Genomic DNA, 18,257 nt, shown 5'->3' on the forward strand with positions numbered 1-18,257 from the left:
TTAAGCATGGTGGCAGGTGCCTGTAATCCCAGCTACCCTGGCTGGGAGGCTGAGGCGGGAGAATCACTTGAACCCGGGAGGTGGAGGTTGCAGTGAGCAAAGATCATGCCACTGCACTCCAGCCTGGGCAACAGAGTGAGACTCCATCTCAAAAAAAAAAAAAAAAAAAAAAGAAAGAAAGAAAAGAAAAGAAAAAGCAGAAGACCGAATGCCCAGTGGAGAGGTGACCTACAAATACTCTTTAAGTTGATCAGCTAGCAAACATTTGCCAGACTTCTTTCTTTCCTACAGCAAATTATTGCATTTTCCTGTCCTGATGAGGCAACAATAGAAAGAACAGAGAAAGAACAGTGTAGTCAGTAGAAAATGCAGTGATACAAAGTTGTAACTGTGGTTTTCTGGCACCTTTGCTAACTGTACACCCAGTCAGCCTGTCTTGAGCCATTTCCCCAACTGTAAGAATTGTGATGTTTGTTGCTCTTTATGCCGTAGAAACTAGTGAGACTATATGAGGTAATGAGACTGTGTGGTAAAAATGCTATGGGTTATGACCTTGCATTTAAAAAAAAAAATGCTGTGGGCATCTGCATAGACGTGGTCAGTCAGTTTCATTATGCAGTAACATGAGTTACGTGTCTCTGGATGTAAGAGCTCTGTCTCTGATACCCAGTTGCCAAGGAGGTTGAGCTAATTTGACTTTTAGCTGATCTGACAATGAGAGAGAACTCTTGCCTCTCTTCCTCTCTTCATTGCTCCCTAAACCTCCCTGCAGAAGCTGTAATCTCCCAGATGGGGAAGGAGACCCTTTTTGGTTTCACCATATTATAAGTATTACTAAGCATGTGTTGATTTATGGTAATAATTTACATTTATTAAAGCACTTACTATAGCATACTATAATGTGACAAGCACTGTTCTAAGCCCTTTGATTTTCTACCTCAGTTAACCCTCACAGTAACCCTGTAAGGTAGATACTTTTATTGTCTCCATTTTACAGATGAGGAATCAGAGGCCCAGAAAGGACATAACTTGCCCCAAATCACACAGTTTAAGTGGCAGAACTGGAATTCAAAACCTGCAGGGTCTAGCTCCGGGGTCTGTTCTTTAAAGATGCCCATTAGGAAAAAAAAATGGCTTAGCTTTTTGAGAAGCTCTTATTCAAAGAGAGCTGTGATAAGGTCGAAGCCTTGTAGAAGATATAATAAGCATTAAACACAGAAATATGTTTAGCTATTTACATTACAGATGACTAAAAGATTCCTACTGTTGTGGCCATGAGTAGGAGTTGTTATTGGAGTTCCAAGTTTGGATATGGTGAAATCGTCGTCTCTTTTCCTTTCTAATTATACTTGAAGGCTTTGTGGAGATTAGCTTTTATGAGCTCTCCATGTTGTTCTATATGCCAGGTATTTGGTGTGGCTTAAGGCAGTGGTTCCAAATCAGAGCTGTGCCTCCCAGACTCACCTGGAGCCTTCTGAAAACATAGATGTCTGCACCTCTGCACTTGCTTGTTACGTCTCCAAAGGTGATTTTGTTGTGCAGTCCCTAGGAAAGACTTAAAATGGAAATGCTGTCTTTGAGTGGTTATATGTAATACACCACCCCAAAACCTAATGGTTTTAGATAACTGTGATTTATGATTTCTCATGATTCTGTGTTAGCCTGGGTCACTCACCTGACAGGTCAGCTGGGGCCTGGGTCTCTGTCTCCCTGTGGTCTTTTATCATCAGGAAGCTTGACCAGGATTTACACCACAGCGGAAGTGATCTGGGAGGGTGAGTCCCTGTGCACAAGTACTTGTCAAGCCTCTGCTTATGTCACATTTGTTGATGTACCCTCGGCTGAAACCAGTCACACACCCAAGCCTAGAGTCAGCAGAGAAAGAGACTGCACTGGTTGTGGGCCCTAGCAGACATGATTCACTGGGATCATTAGTATAGCATTCTACCACACATGTAAACATCTGCCTAAAATTAGCTCAGTGTAAGGGCTTAGATCTCATAAAACCTAGGGAAAAACTCTACAGCCCCCATGCTTGTCCTCTGCCATTATGGTACACCTACCAACTTGATAAGTTATGGTTTCTTCAAATTCATTCATTCACTTAGCAAATAATAGTTCGCATACCTACTGCATGCTAGGGAAATGGCAGTGGACAAAATAGAAATTTCCTGCCCTCGTGGTACTTACAGTGTGGTGGGAAGGGGAAGGTGTGTGTGGAAAAAGACAATGTAAATAAAATGAGAGTGGGAAATAGGGAGTTGGGTAGGGGTAGCAATGTTAGATAAGGTGGCCAGGGAAGGCCTCAGAGAGAAGGTGATATTGTGGGGAGGGTCAAGACAAACACAGACAACATCCTATTGGTTCAAGCCTAAGTAATGATTTATTAGCGAGTACTTGAGCATCTCCCTCAGATCTGTCAGTAGGGGATTGGGTTGGCAGGGAGGAATAGATGCTATAAAATGGGCAGGGGTGGCCAGGCGTGGTGGCTCACGCCTGTAATCCCAGCACTTTGGGAGGCCGAGGCGGGTGTATCACGAGGTCAGGAGATCGAGACCATCCTGGCTAACACGGTGAAACCCTGTCTCTACTAAAAATACAAAAAATTAGCTGGGCGTGGTGGCGGGCGCCTGTAGTCCCAGCTACTCGGGAGGCTGAGGCAGGAGAATGGCGTGAACCCAAGAGGTGGAGCTTGCAGTGAGCTGAGATCACGCCACTGCACTCCAGCCAGGGCGACAGAACGAGACTCCATCTCAAAAAAAAAGAAAAAAAAGGACAGGGGCAGGCAATGACCAGCATCTCTGATCCAAATGTGGTGCCCCATGAGCTCTAAGCTGGTATCCCTTACTGGATTTGGGGTCCAGATACAGGATGGAGGGAAGGGGCATGTGTATCGAGTCCCTAATTTATGCTGCACATTATATTTTATTTAAGCCTCTCAGCAGCCTTGCAAAGAAATTAGTTATTATCCTTGTTTTTGGAGACTCCGAGTAGTAAAGTAACAAATTAAAGAAGGGAAGAGTCAAGAAGGAGAAAAATATTAGAAAATTAAAGAAGTCATTGAGTATTATAATAGATTTAGTGCTAAAGAGGGCGTAAGTTAAATGATAATAAGTTAGTGATTTAGAACATTTTGTCACATTTATATCATTTTCAGTCCCTCCACTTCTCTTTTATGTTTCTATTTTTGCTTCCTGACAGGAATGGGTAACTGCCACTGACATCAGAGTAACTCTTAATCGCCTGAACACTTTTGGAGATGAAGTGTTTAACGATCCCAAAGTTCTCAAGTCCTATTATTATGCCATCTCTGATTTTGCTGTAGGTGGCAGGTAAGTAAACTATTAAATTAGTCTTGAAAGTGTTTGGAGCTTTTGCATAGAGGTGAATCTAGCAACTTGTTTACAACTATGTTAATACCGTTGTTAGATGTTTTCTTTACCAAGAATAGGAGCGGCAGTCCTTCCTGTGTGATAATGCTTAGCTGAAAAGACAGACAGCAGCCTAGGATATTTTCACTGTGAGATCTTCTTGTTGTTCTGGAAACTAAGCATGTAGGTTTTCCAAAACCTTGTCAAATCCACACATTTAGTGAATTCTTATTGACAATTTAAGTGCAAGGGCACTGTGAAGCACTTGAGGAAGGGTAAGACTCACCTTATCCTACGGAGAAGTCCTGACCTTCTTGGATCTTACACATGAACAGGGTAGGCAATGTATGAATATGTGAAAACTGAAATACTTGTAATCACCTGTTTTTAAAAAATAGATAAAGCAGCAGTAGAAAAGATGCCACATATCAAGAATGATCCAAAACTGCCAGGCTAGAGAAGCAGATGGCATCTAAGCTGGGTCTTGAAAGCTTTGGATAAGGAAGGAGAGGATGCCTTGGTTGGATGCAAGAGGATGGACATGTTGTAAGCAGAAGTTTAGAGACGGGAGAGTATAAACCCATTTAACTGAAGGAAAATCTCTTAAATTTGTAGAGTTGTAAACCAGAAAGATAGTTTCGTGGCCAGAGACCTTAAACAGCAGGTGAAGAATCTTGGACTTACCTCCCCTGTGTTAGACCATGAGATCCCAAAAGCAGAAAACTTATTTTTGTTTACATTGTTTCCGGTATGGGATTGGTGCTTAGTGAAAGTTGATGGGAACTGTACCCAATGAGAAATCAGGCAGAATTTTTGGAGTAGGACTCTGGTAAGAAAACAGTGGGCCAGGAGGATTAATGTGCAAACAGGGTAAAAATAGTATACAATTGAGGGAATTTATATTCCTGTTATGATGCTGGATTAGGCAACAAATACATGACATTAAGCTGGTGGCAGCAGAATGGAAAGGAACATATAGATGCATTTTATTGTGAAGGAAATGTTACCAGGACTTCAGTCAAAGGTCCTTTTATTTAGTGATCAGGAGAATGGTTGGTACCATTAACAAAATAAAGAAGATGAGCTAAACTGAAGAGTTTGGTTATACATATGTAAAATTTCAGGTCATGGGGGACATCAAAGTTTGTGCAGCAGTCAAGGATAAGAGCTTGAGAGAAGATGAGAGCTGGAGATCTAAATTTGGGACTTGTCCTGCCACACTATCAATGATTCTGAAGTATTTTAGTGTATCAGTGAATGGTAGTTGAAGCTATGAGACTGATTGCTGTCATTAAGGAAGCAAGTGAGGGGAACATTACGACTCCATGGTGTACATTAGTATTGATGGGAATTTCCATGAGTCCTTAATTTGTTATCATACTTGCATCTAGGGGATCTTTCAGGGATTCTTGCTCCAGACAACCTCAGGGGATATTAGTCTGACTACCAAACATCCATATGGGGGTGAGGTATCTAATGTGTCTCACCACCTTTAGGTCGGAATACTTTAAAATCATTATGGCAGATAATTGCTGATGTTCATCAACTTATTTTGTGGTTTTGCAATCCTGAGCACATAAATAAAGCACTCCTTGATCTTCCCAATAACCTTATGAAATAGGCATTGTCATCATCCCTGTTTTACAGGCGAGGCACAGAGGTTAAGTTACACTGGTAAGTGACAGGGAAGGGTTTCAAACCCAGGCAGCCTGGCTTCAGAGTCCATGCTTTTCTGAACCACTATATTCTGCTACCTCTTGACACACAGGTTTGACTTCAGGAATTGATCCTACAGGTAGCCTCAGAAATTGTTAGGGACTTTCTTTTCATACCTGGTTAATCCCTACCCCTGTTAAGTAAAGCTACCTTGTTTAATTTTTTTTATCCTTAAAAATTCAGACATCCATTACTTAATCTTGCTCAGTTCCCCAGTTTACACTTTTGAATGGTAAAACTTACTTCTTTGTGTACATAGTTTTTCTGTGTGCATTTCTGGGACTTTGCAGCTGTTCCATTTTTTGGAGTATCTCTTCTCTCCCCAGATGTAAATGTAATGGACACGCAAGCGAGTGTATGAAGAACGAATTTGATAAGCTGGTGTGTAATTGCAAACATAACACATATGGAGTAGACTGTGAAAAGTGTCTTCCTTTCTTCAATGACCGGCCGTGGAGGAGGGCAACTGCGGAAAGTGCCAGTGAATGCCTGCGTGAGTGCCCCATGACGTCAGTCTGTCAGTTGTCTTAAGGACTTCCAAGGGTGGAAGAAGGAATGGGTGACTTTCTTTTATTCCTCCTTGAAAGGAAAGCTCTGAAAGGCCAGCTTTTTGTGTAATTTGAGTAGTATTCAAGTCAGAGGAAAGTCATAGATGAGGGCAATTCACTGTAAAGGCAAACTGAGGGTTTTGTGTTTCCTTCATGAACACATGTCCCAGAGTTGGAGCAGCATCTGCAAGGTTTAGAAATTTGTTTGGATCCAAATACTGGGCCAGTGTAGTCTACTCCGGAATATGGTTTCTCTAGTCGTATTTGTTCCCCTTTAAAATACTATTATTTTTATCAATGCTCAGGCATCCAAGGTAATTAACATGTATCAAATATAATGAGTTCTAGGCTAAGAGGGCCATTCCAAGATTATTTCTTTTTTCTTTTCTTTTTTTTTTTTTGAGACTGAGTCTCACTCTGTCAGCTAGGCTGGAGTGAGTGATCTCAACTCACTGCAACTTCCACCTCCTGGGTTCAAGTGATTGTCTTGCCTCAGCCTCCTGAGTAGCTGGGATTACAGGTGCATGCCACCATGCCCAGCTAACTTTTGTGTTTTTAGTAGAGACGGGGTTTCACCATGTTGGCCAGGCTGGTCTCGAACTCCTGACCTCAGGTGATCCACCTGCCTTGGCCTCCTAAAGTGCTGGGATTACAGGTGGGAGCCACTGCGCCTGGCCGCACAAGATTTTTTCTCAAAACTATTTTTTCTTTATCTCACTGAAGAGTACAACGGGGAGAATTTTCCCACTCCCCTGTTGGAGAGGTGGGTAGCTTTGGGAAGAAGAATAGGTCCTAGTATTCCTAGAAAAAGGTAAAAATGAAAAAAAAGTAAAATGAAAAAACTTGAAACATTGTTTATCCCTTCATAATGTCATGGTTTATTCTGAACAGATAGAGAAAGAAATCTCAGGAGAAAGGAACCTTTTAATCATGATTTTAAAGCAGAAATACTTTTCTTATGTCCTTACAAATATTGTTTATCATATTCTGTTAAGAATAAAGAGAAAAAGAAGATACTCTTAACTTGCAGAAATTATTGGCAGAGGCTGGGAACGGTGGCTAACGCCTGTAATCTCAGCATTTGGGAGGCCTATGGGGTTGGATCACCTGAGGTCAGGAGTTCGAGACCAGCCTGGCCAACATGGTGAAACCCCGTCTCTACTAAAAATAGAAAAATTAGCCAGGTGTGGTGGTGCACGCCTGTAATCACAGCTACTCACTTGGGAAGCTGAGGCAGGAGAATTGCTTGAACCTGGGAGGCGGAGGTTGCAGTGAGTCAAGATTGCGCCACTGCACTCCAGCCTGGGCAACAGAGTGAGACTCCGTCTCAAAAAACAAAAACAAACAAAAAAATTATTGGCAGAAACCCCGAGAAGGGACCACTATCTTAACTCACTACTGTTTCCACTGAACTGCCGAGAGGAGATTTTCTTATTCATCTTTTCAACAAATCCTAAGATTTGCAAGTAAAATTTACAGCCTCCTCTAACATTTGTAAGCACTTGCTTGACCTTCTTTAATTCCATTACTGAACTGTAATATTCAGTGTTGGAAGCTCTACAATAAAGGCTGGTACAAGAATGAAATACTCCTAATATGTGGCATCTAAATAAATGGACATGTGTGCTTGAAAAGCATTCTGCTTAATAATGTCGTATTTTGAGTCTATCCAGGAAGTTACTTAAAGAACCAAACATTGCCAATTCACCTCTAGCAAATGAACTGAGTACTGTAGCTAAAGGACTTTGATGAGGAACTAAGTCAATTTGCTTTTCTCGTTGGTCCCTTCAGCACTGTGACACTTCAAAGAGTGACATTTCTGGATGTTGTGACAATACTACATTAATTGTCAGGATGCTAGGGCTAGGGAAGAGAACTACCTTCTCTCAAGGAGGGAGCCATGGCATTTGCTTTAGCTGTAGGTTGGGACAGTGTGGACAGTGGTGTTATTCTGCTTTACCGTCTCAGAACATCAGATCTTCAGGTGGGTTGGGCTTGGTGGATTGAGGGATAAGCTAGGGCGTCTTGAGGGAAGAGAAATAGCTAATGAAGGAAGGAAAAGGGCACTTTAAAACTAACTTAACAAAACTCTAATTTTTGGTGGCAATAACTCAAGTTTCTAAAAAAGTTTTCAGTTGTAATACTGTACTATGAAATAACTGATCATAAGAAAGAGAGAAAAAGAACAAAAGGGGCTGAGTATGGTGGCTCACACTTGCAGTCCCAGCACTTGGGAGGCCAAGGTGGGAGACTCATTTGGGACCAACCTGGGCAATATAGTGAAACCCTGTCTCTGCAAAAATAAAAAATAAAATAATTAGCAAGGCATGGTGGCATGTGCCTGTACTCCCAGCTACGTGGCAGGATGAGGCAGAAGGATCACTTGAGCCTGGGAGTTTGAGACCAGTCTGAGCAACAGAGCAAGACCTTGTCTCTGCAAAAAATTTTTTAAAAATTAGCTGAGTATAGTGGCACACACCTGTAGTCCCAGCTACTTGGGAGGCTAAGGCAGGAGGAGGATCACGTGAGCTCAGGAATTTGAGGCTGCAATGAGTTATGGTGACACCACTGCACTCCAGAGTGAGACCCTGTCTCCAAAAAACAAACAAATCAAAATGTGTTCATGATTTTGGTTAGAAGAAGTCTGCATTAAAAAAGAAAAATATATTCCAAAAAAGATGTATTCGAATATTTTTTTTAAACAACATCCTGTTCGATTTGAAACCAAATAAAACTTCTTTTTATTTACTCTTCAAGATACTGTCTACATTTTGGGAAGAATCAATAACTCAGAAAAAAATCTTTTTATTATAAATATAGTAAGGAATTTTTGTGACTACAGATACTTGGTCTTGAAATATGGTTGTGCCCTGCAGGGAATATAGCTACTTAACAGATCACCCATTTGGAGTTGAGGCTTCCCTGTACATGGATGTTTCTGGAGGATCTAGATTTCTTTTTAATTCTGCTTTCATCTGTCGTGGCACTAATTTTGACCCATATGTCTCAAGTTACCCCAGTCTAGATATATAAATAATCTGGCACTTTGGAAGTTAGTGTCTTAATGTATTTGACTCATCTGAGGCCTAAAAAGTTAAGGTAAATTGAAGCCTGCATATAAAATGGCACTTTGTTTTTGGAGTTGATACTAGAATAAAGGCTAAAGATTCAGGAGAATTATAATTTGACTTGACTTTTACTTGTATATGAACAATTACCTGGAGGCAGATTATTTTCTAAGTACGAGAATTCCTTGTATCTTACGATGGTGCTGTTTTTTAGAGGGAGGAACATTTCTTTATCATCTGGCTGTATATACCCTTTATTGACATCCTGTTGGGTTTTGTTGGTGGTGGTTTTTTGTTTGTTTGTTTTTGAGACAGAGTTTTAGCTCTTGTCGCCCAGGCTGGTGCCCAGTGGCGTGATCTCAGCTCACTGCAACCTCCGCCTCTCAGGCTCAAGCGATTCTCTTGCCTCAGCCTACCAAGTGGCTGGGATTACAGGCATCTGCTACCACACCCGGCTAATTTTTTGTATTTTTAGTAGAGATGGGGTTTCACCGTGTTGGCCAGGCTGGTCTCAAACTCATGACCTCAGGTGATCTGCCTGCCTCAGCCTTCCAAAGTGCTGGGATTATAGGCATGAGCCACTGCACCTGACCTTCTTGTTGTTGTTAATGAACAGTGCATCTGGTAATCATTCTTAGTCTACCACCATCTGTCTGTCTCAGAGATGTGGGAAATTATGTTTGGTTTTAAGTCTTAAAATGCTCTTCTTAAAGGTACCCAGATCTGATGTAACTCGTGTGTTTTGACTGACAGCCTGTGATTGCAATGGTCGATCCCAGGAATGCTACTTCGACCCTGAACTCTATCGTTCCACTGGCCATGGGGGCCACTGTACCAACTGCCAGGATAACACAGATGGCGCCCACTGTGAGAGGTGCCGAGAGAACTTCTTCCGCCTTGGCAACAATGAAGCCTGCTCTTCATGCCACTGTAGTCCTGTGGGTAAGTGACAGGAAGATGGATTGAAAGACAAAATGATAGTTCCGTGGACCCCCGGAAAGGAAAGCTTTGTTTCCAAGGCATTTGGACAACTAAATGTGGAGATGTATACATTATTGTAACACAGAAATCAGTCAAGATCTGTCTCTACCCCATGCCTCCACCTTTTTTAACCAAGTTGAACTTTCAGATGAGTTTCTGGTGTGTAAGAGGGGGGTGGTGGCCTGAGTAATGGTTCTGCAAATAATTAGCAGCAGGATCATAGAGACAATTTGAACTTTGACTGTAAAAGGTTAACTGCTTTGTGAGTTCTTCCTTGTTGATGATTTTGTTTAGTCTAATCTCCTTAGAGTGCTGAAATATTCTTAGCATGTTTGCGTGTGTACAGAGATGCACAGCATTCTTAGTCTAGCCCATTCTTCAAGAGTTTAACCTTTATATTTGTCATTTAGGCCTATATATACTTAAATTCTAGACATGGGCCTTAAGGGGCTGTGATCACCCACAGAGAAGTAACTGATCTTGTGTGCAGTGTTTCATTGGGTACAAAGTGATTTTCAACATTGATGAGTAAATTCATCTTAGCATGTGTCTAGAAACTTAAAATGCCATGACTTAAAGGGTCATGATTTTGAGAAAGTTCTGATTTAAAATTTGGTTTTTATTACCTTTGTGACCATCAGGAGATTGCATACTGGTTCTCAGGCATTGCTTTTAATTACCAGTTATCTTTCTTTAACACATTGATTTTACTTACGTATCTGGCCGAATTTTTGTTTGACAATAGGCATTTTACATTTTAGGCTCTCTAAGCACACAGTGTGATAGTTACGGCAGATGCAGCTGTAAGCCAGGAGTGATGGGGGACAAATGTGACCGTTGCCAGCCTGGATTCCATTCTCTCACTGAAGCAGGATGCAGGTAAAATATTTTCAAAGCCAGAAGAAGGGGGCAGAATCTATATATAGTCAACACATATTAATAGATCTTATGGCTTATTGGCAGCAGGGTAAACATTTTTCCTGTAATAATTGTCAACAAGACTGAGGACTAGCTGTAATGGTGAGCCACAAGGGGTTTGGCTTGTACAGAGAGTAAGCAGAGTTTTAATGGGATGACTATCTTAAACTGAAACCAAATATAAAAATGACTTTAGGCTCACACCTGTAATCCCAACACTTTGGGAGGCCAAGGTGGCTGGATCACGAGGTCAGGAGATCAAGACCATGGTGAAACCCCGTCTATACTAAAAATACAAAAAAAATTAGCCAGGCGTGGTGGCGGGCAGCAGTAGTCCCAGCTACTCGGGAGGCTGAGGCAGGAGAATGGCGTGAACCTGGGAGGTGGAGCTTGCAGTGAGCCGAGATCGCGCCACTGCACTCCAGCGTGGGTGACAGAGCGAGACTCTGTCTCAAAAAAAAAAAAAATGACTTTAGGGTCCATTTTGTTCTATGTGTATTTCTTTTAAAAAAGTCTGTTGGCTGGGCGCCTGTGGCTCACGCCTGTAATCCCAGCACTTTGGGAAGCCGAGGCAGGCGGATCACAAGGTCAAGAGATCAAGACCATCCTGGCCAACATTTTGAAACCCTGTCTCTACTAAAAATACAAAAATTAGCTGGGTGTGGTGGCGTGCGCCTGTAGTCCCAGCTACTCAGGAGGCTGAGGCAGGAGAATCTCTTGAACCCTGGAGGCGGAGGTTGCAGTGAGCTGAGATGGCGCCACTGCACTCCATCCTGGGCGACAGTGTGAGACTCTGTCTCAAAAAAAAAAAAATCTGTTAACATGTAAAACAAAGGGCTGACTTGAAGAGTGGAAGTTTTCTCCCTTCTCTGATTGTTTTATCCATTTTTCATTGAATAGGCCATGCTCTTGTGATCCCTCTGGCAGCATAGATGAATGTAATATTGAAACAGGAAGATGTGTTTGCAAAGACAATGTCGAAGGCTTCAATTGTGAAAGGTAGTGCATTCTTTCTCTAGCTGCATTGTGTTTTCTGTTACCATATTTCAAGTAAAAAAAAAGTAACTGATTGTGTCTTAATCTTTTTCAGATGCAAACCTGGATTTTTTAATCTGGAATCATCTAATCCTCGGGGTTGCACACCCTGCTTCTGCTTTGGGCATTCTTCTGTCTGTACAAACGCTGTTGGCTACAGTGTTTATTCTATCTCCTCTACCTTTCAGATTGGTAATTTAGACCTCATCCCCCAACCTGTTAGAACTGTGAGATTACACTTAAAATATTTTTAAAAATAAAATCAGTGACTCTTTGAGGGCTTTTTGATGGTTGGCAACACTTTGTATTATTTAGCATGCATAGTTTTTGTAGTTTGGCCTTTTAATTTAATGAAAATGTACTTTTGGCTTTAGAATTTATCTCAATGAATGGTGATTACAAATGTTATATAAATAGTAATAAAGTAAAATATAGTTTGAGTGGTATAGCATATATTGGTACTGTTGTAGGATCCATTTATTCAAAAAGGTTTATTGATGCCTTTCTGTATACAAGGTGTGGTCTTACACATTTTTATGATACATAGAGGACCTGAATTCAGGATGTTTACAGTGTAAAGTGCTTGTGTTTTCCTTCTCTACCTGCAGATGAGGATGGGTGGCGTGCGGAACAGAGAGATGGCTCTGAAGCATCTCTCGAGTGGTCCTCTGAGAGGCAAGATATCGCCGTGATCTCAGACAGCTACTTTCCTCGGTACTTCATTGCTCCTGGTAAGTAAGGCTAGAAAGCAGTCTGACCTGCTGTGTGCCTCTGTTTAGTCTCAGTCTCACATTCTTGCCCACCATTGTGTCTGTATTCCAGCAAAGTTCTTGGGCAAGCAGGTGTTGAGTTATGGTCAGAACCTCTCCTTCTCCTTTCGAGTGGACAGGCGAGATACTCGCCTCTCTGCAGAAGACCTTGTGCTTGAGGGAGCTGGCTTAAGAGTATCTGTACCCTTGATCGCTCAGGGCAATTCCTATCCAAGTGAGACCACTGTGAAGTATGTCTTCAGGTAAGATAGCCTTCTTTGTAAAGTGAGACTTGACGAACATTGTGAAAGTGGTGTCTTTATTTAAGTTTAACTGGCCTCTAGATGTATTTTAAAGAAAAACTTCTGGGTTATTGTGGTGATTTTGTAAAAGGGAGCCTTCCTTTCTTTACCTTTATCTTTTCCAATTGTACTACCAAACCAATAGTCTTATTTTTTATTTGATTTGATTGTTAGAGCATTGCATTGTTGGGGCATAAATGAATAAGAAATATTTCCCCAACATCCAGAATTGTCCTTACAGAGGTTAATGTGGCCCTTTCTTTCTCTCCAGGCTCCATGAAGCAACAGATTACCCTTGGAGGCCTGCTCTTACCCCTTTTGAATTTCAGAAGCTCCTAAACAACTTGACCTCTATCAAGATACGTGGGACATACAGTGAGAGAAGTAAGTTATGATATAATTTAGGAGAGTTGTTTAAAAAGATGATTGGTTAGAAAGATTCATGATAATGCAAAAGTTTCTCTTTCCTAATAATATAACACTGAGAAGTGTATAACAACTCACATTATACATGAATTATATATAAAGACAATGCATTTTTTAACGGCTTTCAAGGACCTGGAAAAAATTTGGTAAAATTAGTAAATAGTATTATTTACTAATTGATTACTCAATTGATCAGTAGGTCAATTGAGGTTACATTGTATATAAATAGATTTTCTAAAAAACCTAATTATAGGCTAGGCGCAGTTGCTTACACCTGTAATCCTAGCACTTTGGGAGGCTGAGGCGAGCAGATCACTTGAGGCCAGGAGTTTGAGACCAGCCTGGCCAACATGGTGGAACCCCGTCTCTATTAAAAATACAAAAATTAGCCAGGTGGGGTGGCAAAAGCCTGTAATCCCAGCTACTTGGGTGGCTGAGGGATGAGATTCGCTTAAACCCGGGAGGCAGTGGTTGCAGTGAGCTGAGCTCATGCCACTGCATTCCAGCCTGGGCGACAGAATGAGAATCTGTCTCAGAAAAAAAAAAAAAATCTGATTATAATTCTACTGGCTCAAGTTGCCTCATCTTCATTTCTTTTTATTTACTGTTGTGTAATTATAATTTATAATTTGAGCCATTGGTTAAATTATTAAAAGTCATAAATTATTGAATGATTTTGTTATAATTTTTGGTGAACAAGAGTTTAAGACTTAAAAATTTTTTTTTTTGAGACGGAGTCTTGCTCTGTCACCCAGGCTGTGGTGCAATAGCATGATCTTGGCTCACTGCAACCTCCGCCTCCTGGTTCAAGCGATTCTCCTGCTCAGCCTCCCAAGTAGCTGGGATTACCGGCACGCCCCACCACACCCAGCTAATTTTTGTATTTTTAGTAGAGATGGGGTTTTACCATATTGGCCAGGCTGATCTCAAACTCCTGACCTCAGGTGATCCCCCTGCCTCGGCCTCCCAAAGTGCTGGGATTACAGGCATGAGCCCCTGCACCCGGTCAAAATTTTTTTTCTTAAAAAAAAGTTTTAAACAAGGACCTTTTTCTCTAGCAAGGTACAGCTGTTTGGGGAGGTGGAGTTAGTGATGATGTGGTATTGGGAGAGGCATCTGCAGCTTAGATGTGTTGATTTTTGAAATGCCTGCATGAATATCCAGATAAAAATGGCTTATAAGTAGTTAGAAATATGAATCTGGGGCTTAGGAAGAGATTAGGACTAGCGATCCAGATTTAGAAGGTTGTCAACATATGGGCAATAATTTTTAAACTTGGAAATATGACAGAAAATATAGATGGAAAAGAAGGATGGAATCCTGGAAACAGTTAAGTCCATGCTCTAAGACCCAAGGGCAACATGGCGAAACCACATCTCTACTAAAAAGTACAAAAATTAGCACAGTATGGTGGTGCATGCCTGTAGTCCCAGCTTCTCTGGAGGCTGAGGTGAGAGGATCACGTGCACTCAGGAGGTCAAGGCTGCAGTGAGTGGTAATTGTGCCACTCCACTCCAGCCTGGACAATGAGTGTGACCCTGTCTGAAAAAAAAGTAAAATAAATAAATAAGAGCCAAGGGAGAAAAAGAATTTTAAGAAAGAGAAACAATTAACAAGTTTAGGAAGCTAGCATCGTTGGGTTTTGGATTGGTGATTCCTTAATCACTGCTGAGTTTTTGTTTTTAAGAAGTGTTAAAACTGTCCAGGCGTGGTAACTCATGCCTGTAATTCCAGTACTTTGGGAGGCTGAGGCAGGAGGATTGCTTGAGGCTAGGTGTTCAAGAGCAGCCTGGGCAACATAGCAAGATTCTGTCTCTATAAATCAAAAAAATTAGCTGGGCATGGTGGCACACACCTGTGGTCCTAGCTACCTCGGAGGCTGAGGGCAGGAGGATGCATGAACCCAAGAGGTCAAGCTCGCAGTGAGCTGTGATCATGCCGTTGCACACCAGCCTGAGTTTACAGAGTGGATCTATCTCAAAAAAAAAAAAAAAAAAAAAAAGGTGGCGGGGTGGTGTTGAAACTGAAAGATCACAGTGCTTTAAGAAGTAATTTGAAGTTGAGTAAGTAAAATAAAGAATGTTCAGTTAAGAAGTTTGGCTATAAGGAAAAGACATGGACTATAATTTGGGAGTAGGAACAAGATTGAAGAAAGTATTTTTAGAATGGGGAGACTTAAGGATGTTTAGAATTGGAAGCACAGTAACCAATAAAGCCATATCTCATGACCTAACTAGGCAAGATAAACCTGTAAACATACTAAAAGTAGTACATTTAGGGTAGTAATGGAGGTGTCCTTCAGCCTTAGGTGGTTAATTTTCAAATGAATTTTATAAACAGCAAGTGCTATTTCATAACATGAAAAATACGCTTTAAGCATAAGACTGCAAAACACTAGAGTGGAATGGAGATTACAGGGAAATATGATGATGTTACTGAGGCCTATACCTCTCTGATAAAATGTTCCTGTTGATGCTTGTATCAGGGGCACCACTGGATTGGATGAACCATTGGTCTAAGGCAATATAAGGTTTCCTCTGATTTCTTATAGAAATGGAAAAGCATTGAGCTTTGGAGTAATTGTATACTTGTCAGAAGTAACCCTGAGTATTAGAACTTTACTTGAGAGTTTTTGTTTTTTGTTTTTTGGGGGGTTTTTTGGCTGTTTTACAGAGGGCAGAAATTATGTAACCTGAGTATTACCTGTTGACAGGTGCTTTCCCTTCTGTCTTACCCTTGAACTCTGTAGTGCCTGCTTTTGTAGCAAAAGAATGAAAACACTCCTTAATGGCTGTAGACATAAACTCTTCTTTTCCCCCCACACTCTTGTTCATATCTCTTCTCACTCCAAATGATTGTCTGATGCTTTTCATTTTTCACATTGGTGGGGACTGTAAAATTCAGCAAATCTAGGGGTACATGTGTGTGTTTTAAAAAAAATTAGTTTGGGCCGGGCATGGTGGCTCAAGCCTGTAATCCCAGCACTTTGGGAGGCCAAGGTGGGCTGATCACCTAAGGTCAGGAGTTCGAGACCAGCCTGGCCAACATGGTGAAACCCTGTCTCTTCTAAAAAAAAAAAATACAAAAATTAGCCGGGCATGGTGGCATGCGCCTGTAATCCCAGCTGCTTGGGAGGCTGAGACAGGAGAATTGCTTGAACCCAGGAGGCGGAGATTGCAGTGAGTCGAGATTGCACCACTGCACTCCAGCCTGGGAGACGGAGTGAGACTCCATCTCAATAAATAAATATATATATAAACAAACAAATAAATTAATAAATAAAATAAAAGTTTGCTATACCACCACTCCAGATACTTAGCACTCAGTACCACATGATTGTTCTAAATGCTGTTTTCTAATTCTCTTCTCCAGGGTGTAGACGTGGATATCTCGTTTAGTGTATCAGAGCCCAGTTAAGCAAATGGCTAATTTTCTCTGGAATTTGGGGTCTAGTTACTTTTTAGTGTTACTGACTTTACACAAGGTTTGGAAAACAAGCCAGTTCAGTGATTTTCTTTTCCTCACTATACACAGGTGCTGGATATTTGGATGATGTCACCCTGGCAAGTGCTCGTCCTGGGCCTGGAGTCCCTGCAACTTGGGTGGAGTCCTGCACCTGTCCTGTGGGATATGGAGGGCAGTTTTGTGAGATGTGCCTCTCAGGTTACAGAAGAGAAACTCCTAATCTTGGACCATACAGTCCATGTGTGCTTTGCGCCTGCAATGGACACAGCGAGACCTGTGATCCTGAGACAGGTGAGATGATCTTTGGCAGCTCTTAGACCTAACTTCTCTTTAGCAATTGTGTAGAAAGTGCTCATTGTCTTATATACTTGTACATTTGCCTGTTTTCTCACGCCTGCCTTCCAAATAGGTGTTTGTAACTGCAGAGACAATACGGCTGGCCCGCACTGTGAGAAGTGCAGTGATGGGTACTATGGAGATTCAACTGCAGGCACCTCCTCCGATTGCCAACCCTGTCCGTGTCCTGGAGGTTCAAGTTGTGCTGTTGTTCCCAAGACAAAGGAGGTGGTGTGCACCAACTGTCCTACTGGCACCACTGGTAAGTCTGCTCGCTTCATCTGCTTTCAGTGTTCCCTTCTATAAAAAGACCTAGGGGAAAGGGGCTTCGGAGTTGTTTTGGATCTTTGTGTTTGGTTCAGTTTCAGTGGTTATGGTTTTCCTAATAGGAAGCTGAGGCTCACTCTCCTTGTTTCCTTCCATCTCTCTTTTGGGTATCCCCTGATTGTCTCCATCTGTCAACCAAGGGCTTTCATGTCACCTTGATCTACCGTCTCCCCTTTAGGTGATCAAATCTCATCTTGAGGCTTCAAAAGCCTTTCTATATCTATGATAGCTAAGTTTGTATTTCCAGCCCTGGCACCTCTCCTGAGCTACCTACTTGCCATTTCCACTTGGATGGTGGGCTAGAAGCCTTCCACTTGCCTTTCCACATCCCTGTTCACCTTTCTGCACCCTGACTGAGACCTGCATGCACTACATCAAATGTCAGGCTCCATTTGCATTCAGACAGCAGAAAGCACATATGGGAGCTCACAGAGAAGGAGGAGGGTGAGGACAGAGTATTTATCCCATGGCCCCTTCTCTATGGGGTTCTCTGGATCGATGACCTCAAATCCGTCATTGATGAGCCAAATCAGCTCCTGGTAGGCCTTCTCCAAACAGCTCTTTTTGCCTTTAGGTTCTGCTAGCTGCCCCACCCACCACCTGAGGCCCAGGGTATGGAGCCTATCTCAAGTGCTGCACTCTTCTCGCAGTTTCCTTACACTCCGTGCTGATTTGATTGTGTCAGCCATTTTCTGCTGTGATTTTGATTCACATAGCCAAAGGAACTCAAATTTAAACAAATCCAAGTTAAATATTTGATTTCCTCCCTTTTTCTTCGACCCTTTGTTTCTCCTCCAGTCTTGTTCATCTTAGTAAATATGCTGCCATTAGCCTAGTTGCTCAAGCTGAAACCTTAGGGCCTATACTTGATTCATCTTCCTTTCAAGTCCTAGAAACAGTCAGCAAATCTTACTGATGTTATCTCAGATCTGACCACTTTTCACCACTTCAACTATCACCAACCTGGTTCAAACCTCTGTTATCTCTCACCTGGGATTGCCTAATTGTTCTCCCT

The 18,257-nt window shown here is 41.8% G+C and overlaps 1 protein-coding gene across 1 annotated transcript in view; it reads left to right on the plus strand.

Annotated features, from left to right (window-relative positions):
* The window catches only part of LAMC1 (laminin subunit gamma 1), a 122,173-nt gene that overhangs the window by 81,655 nt on the left and 22,261 nt on the right, over window positions 1-18,257 (plus strand). Inside the window, exons 3-13 of the mRNA NM_002293.4 lie at window positions 3,202-3,332; window positions 5,414-5,580; window positions 9,457-9,645; window positions 10,446-10,563; window positions 11,503-11,601; window positions 11,693-11,829; window positions 12,246-12,368; window positions 12,460-12,649; window positions 12,960-13,072; window positions 16,649-16,870; window positions 16,989-17,177. Coding sequence (NP_002284.3) covers window positions 3,202-3,332; window positions 5,414-5,580; window positions 9,457-9,645; window positions 10,446-10,563; window positions 11,503-11,601; window positions 11,693-11,829; window positions 12,246-12,368; window positions 12,460-12,649; window positions 12,960-13,072; window positions 16,649-16,870; window positions 16,989-17,177 — 1,678 coding nt within the window. The remainder of the gene's footprint in view (window positions 1-3,201; window positions 3,333-5,413; window positions 5,581-9,456; window positions 9,646-10,445; window positions 10,564-11,502; window positions 11,602-11,692; window positions 11,830-12,245; window positions 12,369-12,459; window positions 12,650-12,959; window positions 13,073-16,648; window positions 16,871-16,988; window positions 17,178-18,257) is intronic.

The sequence above is a fragment of the Homo sapiens genome, chromosome 1, assembly GCF_000001405.40.
Source record: "Homo sapiens chromosome 1, GRCh38.p14 Primary Assembly".
Taxonomy (NCBI): Eukaryota; Metazoa; Chordata; class Mammalia; order Primates; family Hominidae; genus Homo; species Homo sapiens.